This window comes from Homo sapiens, chromosome 17 (assembly GCF_000001405.40).
Source record: "Homo sapiens chromosome 17, GRCh38.p14 Primary Assembly".
In the NCBI taxonomy this organism is placed as follows: domain Eukaryota; kingdom Metazoa; phylum Chordata; class Mammalia; order Primates; family Hominidae; genus Homo; species Homo sapiens.
In genome coordinates, this window is record NC_000017.11 from 41,359,302 (window position 1) to 41,370,215 (window position 10,914).

The 10,914-nt window shown below is 44.6% G+C and overlaps 1 protein-coding gene across 1 annotated transcript, besides 1 other annotated feature; it reads right to left on the bottom strand.

The window, feature by feature from the left end:
- Window positions 4,197–10,512, bottom strand: KRT33B (keratin 33B). Its single transcript, NM_002279.5, has 7 exons — window positions 10,102–10,512; window positions 8,607–8,689; window positions 7,169–7,325; window positions 6,091–6,252; window positions 5,874–5,999; window positions 5,478–5,698; window positions 4,197–4,652 (listed from the first exon to the last, which is right to left on the bottom strand). Exons 1-7 carry the CDS (start codon window positions 10,447–10,449, stop codon window positions 4,535–4,537), a joined length of 1,215 nt encoding a protein of 404 aa, NP_002270.1. The 5' UTR covers window positions 10,450–10,512; the 3' UTR covers window positions 4,197–4,534.
- Window positions 5,306–5,807: an enhancer, noted in NCBI's record as "H3K4me1 hESC enhancer chr17:39520859-39521360 (GRCh37/hg19 assembly coordinates)". NCBI's record gives its function as "activates a minimal SCP1, AML or CMV promoter by ChIP-STARR-seq in naive H9 embryonic stem cells {active_cell/tissue: H9 hESC(naive)}" and the evidence as "EXISTENCE:reporter gene assay evidence [ECO:0000049][PMID:30033119]".

Below are 10,914 nucleotides of genomic sequence, written 5' to 3' on the forward strand. Positions count from 1 at the left end.
AGCGAGGTGTCTCACATGGTGGGAGAAGAAGCAAGGGAGTGGGGGAGGTTCTACACACCTTTAAACAACCAGATCTTGTGAGAACTCACTCACCGTTGTGACAACAGTACCAAGGGGGATGGTATTAAACCATTCATGAGAAACTGCCCCCATGATTCAATCACCTCCCACCAGGCCCCACCTCCAACATTTGGAATTACAATTCAACATGAGACTTGGGCAAGGACAACATCCAAACTGTATCGGCTATGATTACACCACTGCACTCCAGCCTGGGTAACAGAGTTAGATCCTGTCTCTTAAAAACAAAAAACAAAAACATCTTCTATGGATCTTGTTTTTATGCAAGAAGAAAGAGATTAAATTAGATAGTGCTAAGTCAAGTGTGCACATTTAAAAATTAAGAACACATATTAAAAGGGGGAACAAAGAAAACAAGATCAATCCACAGGTGTCAGGAACTGAGGAAACAATAAGCAACAAAAAAAAATCATCCTTAATGGAAAGGACAAAGTAAGATTTTTAAAATAAGTCCAAAAAGTCAGTAATAAAATTACATGTAAATAGATTAAACCCTATTTCTCCTCATCAGACATAGAGTGCCCTCACCACCTTATCCAAAAGTTTCCACTTCCTATTCCCTTTCCTTGCTTTATATTTCCTCTCAGCACTTATTGCTTGACACAGTCATGCTTGTTTGCCTCTTTTTATTGTCTGTCTTCTTCCACTTGAAAGTAGGCTTCTTAGAGCAGGTCTTTGTTTTGTTCAGTGCTCTGCCCAACAGGCACCATCGTAAGCATTCAATGATTATACATTGGATTGAATTGATTTATAGAGAAGACACATGAATGACCAATAAAAAGATTTTTTAAATATTTAATTTCACTAGAAACTTTAAAATTATGAAGTGAGACAAGCTAGATTATACCCACATTTCATTGGCAACATTGCCTTGTCACACTAGATGGCCAATTGCAGGTCATCATGTCATGGTGAATTTTACAGCCAGCGTATCTTGCCAAGTCAGTAAGCTAAGTAGTGCCAACTGAAAAATCACAAGATTAATAAAGTTGGAAAGGAGAGCTTTATTTCTCATAAAAGGCTGCAGCCTCCAGGCTGACCATCCTGCAAGCTGGGAAGCGTAGCCTCTGGCAGAAGCCAAGAGTAAGCATTTTGAGGGAGGGAAATGTGAGAAAGGAATGTATGCTGAGTGAGGTGGCCAAATGCACTATTTAATAAGCTACAGGAGGAGTCATGAATATTTATGAAAAGACAAATGTAAGCATGTGCAATTGAGCTTCATGCCTCTTCATGGGTCGCATGTTCACAAATGGTGGCATTAGCATGATCCAAGGATGGAGTTTTTGGCCCTCTGATGTTGAAAGGTGAGGCAGAGGATGTGAAAACCCTCACCGCACATCCTCTGTAGACTGGCCAGACCACTCCATGGTTGGTGGTCTCTTATCAGGAAGGAATGCCAGCCAGTTGGTTGCTGTGTTGAAACTGCAAAAGGCGGGAGGAAGGAATCCAGTCACAGCTTCAGATGATGGGCTAAAGGTGATAAAGGAATGATTCATCTGTTTCTTATTTTCCAGAGCTGGTTTCTGCTTACTCCTTAGGAAAGAATTCTGGTTAAAAGTTAATAAGGAGGGGGCATACTGAGGCATGTCTGACCTCCCATCCTGTCATGGTCAGGGACTCTGTTTTTTTCTTTCTTTCCTTCTTTTTTCTTTTTCTTATTATACTTTAAGTTCTGGAATATATGTGCAGAACGTGCAGGTTTTTTACATAGGTGTACATGTGCCATGGTGGTTTGCTCCACCCATCAGCCCATCATCTATATTAGGTATTTCTCCTAATGCTATCCCTCCCCTAGCCCCCCACCCCCCAAAAGGCCCCAGTGTGTGATGATCCCCTCCCTGTGTCCACGTGTTCTCATTGTTCAACTCCCACTTATGAGTGAGAACATGCGGTGTTTGGTTTTCTGTTCCTGTGTTAGTTTGCTGAGAATGATGGTTTCCAGCTTCATCCTTGTCCCTGCAAAGGACATGAACACAACCTTTTTTATGGCTGCATAGTATTCCATGGTATATATGTGCCACATTTTCTTTATCCAGTCTATCATTATTGGGCATTTGGGTTGATTCCAGGCCTTTGCTATTGTGAACATTGCTGCAATAAACATACATGTGACTCTGTTTTTAAGGTTTCTCTTCGGTCCCCTTGGCCAAGACAGAGTCCGTTCAGTCAGCTGGGGGACTTAGGATTTTAGTTTTATTTCTCAGTGGTAACACTGACCCTTCCCAGATACTTCAGAAGAGCAATTTGGCTTTGTCCTGAGAAAAAGTGATCTCCCTGACACTCCTTTCTTTTATCCTCCAAGGAGAGCACCATGGCAGAGATAAGAACTAAGGACTGTTTTCCCTAGACCCATGTTTTCCGCTGACACAACATCAAACATAGAAACAAGTTTTGCTTAATATTTTATAAATTGAACACTAAAAACAAAGTGTATTTACTGTGTTGAGAACTTTGACCTCTCACTCACAAAGCATGCAACTGGGTATTTGGGAGGCACTGTTCCTGGTGAAGGTAGCTGAGAGGTAACTATCAGTGGACAGTAATCCCAGCATGTGTGGAGAACTGCCGGGATAAATTGAACAAGGGCGGTTTTCATGAGGCATGCAGGTAGCTCCAGGGAATGAACTCTCCCTGAGGAAAGAGAGAATAGAGTCCACAAACTGGGTCTAAGACATTCTGAGCAGAGGATGGAGTATCACTCAGACGGTCTTCCAAGGTCTCCTGTCTAAGCTGCAGCAGCATCAACAACAAAGGAGTAGATATTAAGTGAACTAGAATATGAGAGCACAAGAATTTAAGACTGGCCAGGTGCAGTGGCTCACACTTGTAATCCCAGCAATTTGGGAGGCTGAAGTAGGCAGATCACTTCAGCCCAGGAGTTCAAGACCAGCATGGATAACCCAGCGAAACCCCTCTCTACAAATAATACAAAAATTGGCCATGCATGGTGGTGCATGCCTGTAGTCCCATGTACTCAAGAGGCTAAAGTGGGAGGATAGCCTGAGCCTGGGAAGTTCAAGGCTGCAGTGAGCCGTGATCATGCCGCTGCACTCCAGCTGGGGTGACAGAGTGAGACTCTGTCTCCAAAAAAAAAAAAAAAAAAAATTTAAGAATTTAAGACTGACATGTGATGATGGAACCGGCATCATCACAGCAGGGGAGATAGTATCAGCTTCATCTCAAGGAGAGAAGACATAATTAGCAGATTGGTTAATCTGGGAATAATCTGCAGACTGAGGGAGTGGCCTTGGCACAAACCACAGCATGCACAGTGATGGGAGCCATTAACCTTGGTTAGACATCAGCAGGCACCAGTAGGGGCCAGGCACCAGTACCGTGGTCACTGTTAGCATTTGCAAACACCTGACTTGTAATATCCTAATTTGATTCTAAATAACTTTGAGGGGGAGGGTCCCGAAATTCATATGTAGTTCCCATGGTTAAACAATTCAAGTGAGAAAAGAAACACTTTCAAAATAGGTTGGGTATTGCTCAAATATGGAAGATGGCAAGGTGGTGCTTTTTAGTATTGAGTTATTCAGTATTTCACAAAGGAGAGTTTCAGAGATGTTTTGAGCACTAACAGCATTGTGTCTCCCCAGGAGGATGTATAAGCTCTGGGTGCTTGTTTGAAATCAATTTTGTCCTCTCATAATCACACCTCATGTGTAACTGACAAGCAGAGAGTGAACTCTGGGTTCAGTCCTGCCATTGATTCTTCCTCACTGTGAGGAAGAGAAAAAATTAGTAGCACAATTCCTGGCATTTGGTAGGTGTTCAATAAATATTAACTTCTGTCATCCCTGCTAGGGACTTAAAAGAATGAGTGGAACTGTCTAGAGATGCTCACCGTTGCATTTTACTGAGTAAGGTCCCATGAGAAATATGTTTATCATATTCAGACGAGGCCTCTTGTCCTAGTGATCCTACTTGTTTTATGCTGGCCTAAGTGGATGCTGGGACTCACTGTGCTTAATGAATGTTAATGAAGGTGATGAAGACCTTTTAGGAGATGATTAACCTATAAAGTCCTCCTTCTGCTTTCAAGTGGCTTTATAAGAAGCACACAGAGAGTCAACACTTTGAAAAGAATGAATACAAATGAGAATCATGTCTGCTTTGCAAGAGGAAAGTTTATTAGGCGATTTGGGGAACTGCAATAAAGGTAGAAGCAGCAGAGAGAACAAAACACCTCGTATGCCACTGTCACAGCTCCAACCTCTGACCATCAGAACTCAGACTGACTACAGGAGAGGGACCTGGGGTGAGGAGGATCAAGTAGCCCTAGGCTCAGAGTCAGACCCAAACGCTGGGCATTTGTTCTCCTTCCAGACCATGATTTGTGGTGATGCCTCGGGGTGGGGTCCGGTGGCTGATGGTTGTCAGAGAGGCAGAACTGGCCCACCGATGGTAGTTCTGTCTTCATGCTATACTTCTGCTGGCCCCAGGGTATCTAGTACCCAAAGGTGTTGCAAGGCCCACAGCGGGAACGAGGACCACAAGGATTGGTGACACAGGATCCAATGGGCTTTTCACATGCATTGGTGGTGGCGCAGGGGTTGGAGGGCAGCCTGGGATGCAGAAGCATTAGACTGTCAGCATGAGAAGGGTGATTCAAACAAGGGAGACTCAATCCAAAGAGACACAGAAACAAGCAGAACCCGTTCTCTGATGTCCTAGGAAGCCATGCCTTGTTTGGATCACTCCTTCTACAGAGTTCTGATACAGTGGCAGAAATGAGCAAAGAACATGTAAGGTGGAATCCCAGCCTTCCTTGTATGACCCTAGACACACAAGAAAGTCACTTCCTCCTTCTAAGCCTCAGCTTTCCCACCTGTAAGGTAGGACTGGTAGTACCAACCACACAGGATTATGAAAATTCCACAAGACTGTGTTCATAAAAATATTATGTTCGCTGGCAACTGCTGTACTGTTAGTTATTGATCATCAACCCTATTGACACTCAAATGCTCATCTATAAGAAGGTGATAATGATTCCCACTCTGCCTGCCTCAGATGATTCTAACAAGAATTAATGAAACGGTGGATTTGAAAGTTCTGTTTAAATCAGAAAAAGTGATCATTGTTACAGTTTCATTTTCCTTTTTGTGGTGACAAGACAGTCCTGAAGACAGAAAGATTTATTTGGCCATCAACATCCAAAAAATCTCTACTGGAGGAAGGAGTCAAGTCCCATGACTATCTTTTGTAAAAGAAAGTATCTTTAGCCCAGATAATGTTAGCAACAAATATCCTACACTTCCCACGGCTGTAATATAAAACTCTCGCCTCTACAGACAGATTGGCATCTGAAACTTGATTTTCAAAGTCTCTGTTTTATCCTACAGTAGAACAGTGCCTGTCCCTTGCAGGGGTGCCGTCCGCCAGGTACTCACTTGCAGTCCTCGCTCTCCAGCAGGCTCCGGTATGTGTTGATCTCACACTCCAGCCGCGCCCGCACGTCCAGCAGCACCTGATACTCCTGGTTCTGCCGCTCCAGGTCACTGCGGATCTCCGCCAGCTGGGACTCCACGTTGGTGATCAGGCTCTGCACCTGGGACAGCTGGGAGCTGTAGCGGGCCTCGCTCTCTGTCAGCGTGTTTTCCAGAGAGTATCGCTGTGGTGGGAAAGATCAGGAATGTCAGAGAGCTGCTCCTTATAGGGTTCCTCCATGGGGTTCGAAAAAACTCACAAGCTCCAAGAGCTAAGAAGAGTGTGTGGCCCCAAGGGCATCCCCAAGACTCTGCCTCCCAAGTTCCCATCGCTCACCAGCAGGTCTGAACAATACACACCAGGTTGTGCTGGGCCTGCAGCTCGATCTCCAGGGCATTGACTGTGCGTCTCAGCTCGATGATCTCCGCCTGGTAGGACTGCAGCTGCTCCGAGCTGGATACCACCTGCTTGTTCAGCTCCTCGGTCTGAAACACCCAAGGGGAGAAAGGATCAGACCCTGCCTCCGGGGCCCTGGGGGGCCTCGGGTCCTGAGTGGCCACGTGCTTAGATGCCCACCTGCGTGGCGAACCATTGCTCCACTTCCCTGCGGTTGGTTTCCACCAGGGCCTCATACTGATTCCTGGTCTCGTTCAGGACCTGGTTCAGGTCCACAGCGGGAGCAGCGTCCACCTCCACGTTGAGGCGGTCTCCAAGCTGGCAGCGCAAGGTGTTGACTTCCTAATGGAGAAAAGGGAAGAAATAAACCCACAGAAAGAAGTCTTTCAATAACTTCTTTGAGGCAGTTCAATATAATGGGAAGAGGATTGCATTGCAGCTTAGGAAACATGAGTTGAAGCCCAGCTGTCACCTCTGGAAATTCTGGCCTCTTCTCTGAATCCCTTCCCTCATCTGTATGATACGGCTGCTTCATTAAATGATTGCTAATATTTCTACCCAGTCCAAGATTCTATCATTTCTTTCTTATTTCCCCTTTGCTCAGTGATAAGCCTGGCATGATAATTGGCTTACAATTGTTGCTACTTAAATATAGAGAAACCAGGTTTCATTCCTCCTATTTATTTCATGGGATACTACTAGAGTATGACACATGTTTTCATCATGAAAACGTCTAATGTTTGAGACATGCATCTGATTTCGTAGTATTGCATTCAGCCATGAGATCTGAATCAACCATTATTTGAGTTATTTCATTTCTCCCGTTTTTCCCATCCATCAGTTCATCCATCCATCCATTCATCCATCTATCCATTTATCTAGCTTGAGTTCTAGTTATCTAGGTGAAACAGAGTGTAAGAATGTTTTCTATCTCCTTCCAGTCTTGGTCATTAACCTACCTGGCACCTCTTCAGAAGCTAATAGATAGCATCAAACAGTAGACAGTAGTTTAAAGATATTTGTGTGACCTTTCAGCCATACATGTCTGGTCCCAAGGGGAAGTAGGTCAGCTTACCACACTCCTTTATGTAAAAAAGGTAAGCTGTCACTCATTCCCCAACAAGCCCCAAAGTATGTTTTGAGCAACCAGCAAAATGTTGTTAGGCCTAGGGTGCTTAGCAAATCAAATCCTACCTTATCCTATTCAGGGGGATCACAGAGCTCTCAGTATTGGGATATTGGGGGCTGGGACTCTTACCTGCTCATGGTTCTGCTTGAGGGACAGCAGCTCCTCCTTCAGGGACTCCATCTGGGCCTCCAGGTCAGACCTGCACAGGGTCAGCTCATCCAGAATCCTGCGCAGGCTGTTGATGTCGGACTCCACCAGCTGCCGCAGGGACTGCTCCGTCTGGTACCTGCACACACAGCCAGAGGTCAAAAGAGGTCCAAAAAAAAAAAGTCTTTGTTTCCCGGCCTTTACTTGGCTGACTTAGTCAATTTTATTATATTTTGAAATATTTTGAATTTAAAAAATTAAGGGAGAAAATACTCCTGTACTGAGTGAGAAGGCCTATTTTGTCACTGAGACACACAGAAAAGGTATTGGTGGAATGCCTGTGGATAGTTTAGTCTAACACAAACTAAGTTTGTTCTAAGACTCTCGTTTACAAGTTACTATCAACTAAGCCCTGCTGCTTTTGCCATCTCAAGTGAATCAGTGCCCTTCATAAGCCTGCTCCAGGTTGTCCTGTCATCCTTTCCAGCCTTGCCAAGAAGCAATCTAGTGTTGTGGAAGAAACACTGAATTCAGAGTTAGAGCCAGTATTCTCATTAAATGACTGTAGATAGATACCTTTATCTCTCTGAGGCTTGATTTCCTTAACTGTAAAATGAAGACAAAACTAACACCTTATAGGGTTGGACTGAAGATGATATATGTAAAATTATGTTGTAAAATGTAAGATCCCAGGAAAATGCAAAGGATTCTCATGATTGTAATAATGGTCATACCTAAAAGTATTGATTGATTCTCTGAAAGGCAATGGATTTTGCCTCCTGTTTTTGTGGTTTAATAACTTCTTTTTGGGGGGTTGACAGTGACTAACGTATACAAAGAGACCAATGTGAAAATCACTTTCAAACTTACTCCAGACGTTGGGTTGAAAAGGAGTAAGAATGGATGGTGTCTTACAATCAAACTTAAAGCACAGGGCTGCGCACAGTGGCTCACGCCTGTAATCCCAGCAGTTTGGGAGGCTGAGGCGGGTGGATCACTTGAGGTCAGGAGTTCAAGACCAGCCTGACCAACATGGTAAAACCCGGTCTCCACTAAAAATATAAAAATTAGCTGGGCCTGCTGGCGCATGCCTGTAATCCCAGCTACGAGGAAGGCTGAGGCAGGAAAATCACTTGAATCCGGGAGGCGGAGGTTGCAGTGAGCCAAGATTGCATCACTGCACTCCAGCCTGGATGAGAGAGGGAGACTCCATCTCAAAATAAAAAAATTAAAAAAAAAAACTTAAAACACAGAATCTGAGCACCTATTGAAGAGGCTTTGACATTTAACCTAATCCTAACCCAATGCAAGAATCCTCCCAATAGAAATTTCTGCTTCCACATTCCAGGATAGGGAGCTCATCACTTTGTAATTCAGCCTGTCCGTTACTAGACTGCTCTGATGGTTAGGAAAATCTTACTTGGTTCTGAAGTCATCTGCAGCCAGCTTGGCATTGTCGATCTGCACCACCAGCCTGGCATTCTCAGACTTGCTGCACAGGATCTGGGGATAGGATTAATCATGAAATGGGTTATACTAAGAAATGCCTTGTGCCTTAAAGTGAAATGCTATTTTCTTTCAGCCACATTCCTCCCAAATAGCTTTGAGTCCTTTCAGATTTTCAGCTCTGAGATAAAAGGAGGATTTGATCATAAAACTGATCATTTCAAAACCAGGACAACCAATGTGAATTCATCATGAATTCTATTCTTATCTGCTTCTGGCTTCCTGCAATAATTAGGTTACTGGGTATCCAACCCTTCGGTTGGGTGACCAACCATCCCAGTTAACTTAGGACTGAGGGGTTTCTGGGATGCTAAAATGGGAAAAATCCCAGGCAAGCCAGAACAACTTGGTTATCCAACACATTCCACCTGCTAACTTCTCTCCACTCTCCCCTCATATTGCCCTTGTTCATGCCTTTGCAAAAAGCTTCTTGCTGTACCCAGAATGCCCTCACCCACTAGCAAGACCCCTTGTGTAACCCACATACTTAATCAATAACACTTCTTATGACCTTTGTGTGATCATTTTGTTTCCACATCTATCTCCCCTGTTAGACTGTGAGCTCCTGAAGGAAGGAGACTGTCTTACTCAGTACATTATCCCCCACCCCAGCACTGTGCCTAACACTCTCCAACTCTGGGTAAATAAATGAATGATATTCAAATAGCACAACCCCTTTCTGGCATCTAATTTTCCAGATCTACAGAACAGTGGGCAGTCAATTCCCTCCCAGAATCAAGGGCTTGTACAATTGGATATAAACTCCCACTCATCCTTCAAACCCCACTCAGACATTGCCTCTTCTGGGATCCCTCCCAAACCTACACCAGGTATTCAGTCCCAATTCTCTGTGGACTCTTTACTTATATCTACTTCTCTTCCAGAACAGATGGCCCCATATTGTCATCTGTACACATGGCTGCTCTAGAGGATGGTCCATGTGTCTGTAGATATTGCTGGAGTCAACAGCTCTCTTGTGTTGCCATAAATGCTATATTTTGCTACAGCTTTGAAAGGCTTTAAATATTTGAAGATTTACTTAGGAAATTCTTAGCATAGAAAATAATTCAGGTGCATACTTTTTGAAAATGCGGTAATGCTCTGAAAACAAAACCAGGGTATCATAATCAAACCAAAAAATCAGATATTCTGGTTTGGAGTAAGACGCCATATAAGATTGCTATGACTGATTTTGGTCTAATGCTTCACTCTAACACCAGCCTGCATCCTTCCTTTGTGGCTCTACAACAGATTTTCTAAGACTACTTGATGTCATACCTAAGCCAGTGAATCTATGTCTTTATCATTCTCAGCATTACTGTGAACAGACTTAGATCCATTCACAGTTTAGTATGTCAAATATAGATAAGTAGTTCATTAAGCTGGCAGTGTGGTGCCCACCTCCTCACCTTCTGCTGGAGCTCCTCAATGGTCTTGAAGTAGGACTGGTAGCTGGGGCACAGCAAGGGCTCCTGCTGCTGAGACCGCTCCCGGATGAGGTTCTCCAGCTCCGCGTTGTCCCGCTCCAGCTGACGCACCTTCTCCAGGTAGCTGGCCAGGCGGTCGTTCAGGAACTGCATAGTCTCCTTCTCGCTGCCATTGAAGGAGCCCTCGCAGAACCAGTTGCAGTTGCTCACATTGGCAGGGATGTTGCAGGCCCCGGGCAGGGTGTAGCCGTGGCAGCTGGGGGGCACACAGGGCCGGGAGGAGCAGCTGGTGCGGCAGCTCAGGCTGGGCAGGCAGAAGTTGTAGGGCATGGTGCAGGGAGGCAGTGGAGCTCTGGAAGTCAGTTTCAAAACCTGATTCCTTTTCCCTGGGATAAGCCTTGGTCCTTTCCAGGGCTTTATATTCTGTTAGCAGTGGGTGTGGCAACCATGTCAAGTATTCCTCCTTTTTACCTCCTTTGCTGATTTTTCCATTTGTTATTTAGCCACTTCACCTGAGTCCTATACCTCATTAAATGTTTTACTCTGGCTTCTTGCTAAGTCAGGACTCCTCACAAAACATGCTGATTGGTTAAGTAAGAGCTTCATGGTTTGGCTTCAAAGTGACCAACCTTGCCTGTAGCAGTGCTTATCCATGGGACATTGAGCTAGAGTGACAGCTGGGCCCTGTCCCCAGAGTAGGGGGCACATATGTGCCTCTTTCTCCTAAATGAGGAAAGGCTTGTGTCTCATCCAGTTCATATTCAATTAAGACTCTGTGAGAAAAGCCATGTAAGG

Bases quoted from the DNA above. Each gene is read 5' to 3' on its own strand.
- KRT33B (NM_002279.5), bottom strand. From the start codon at position 10,449: ATGCCCTACAACTTCTGCCTGCCCAGCCTGAGCTGCCGCACCAGCTGC. The intron at 6,000-6,090 runs GTGGGCATCTAA...TGGGTGTTTCAG, and splicing joins AGCAATGGTTCGCCACGCAG to ACCGAGGAGCTGAACAAGCA. The intron at 5,699-5,873 runs GTGTGTATTGTT...TTCCCACCACAG, and splicing joins TGCAGGCCCAGCACAACCTG to CGATACTCTCTGGAAAACAC.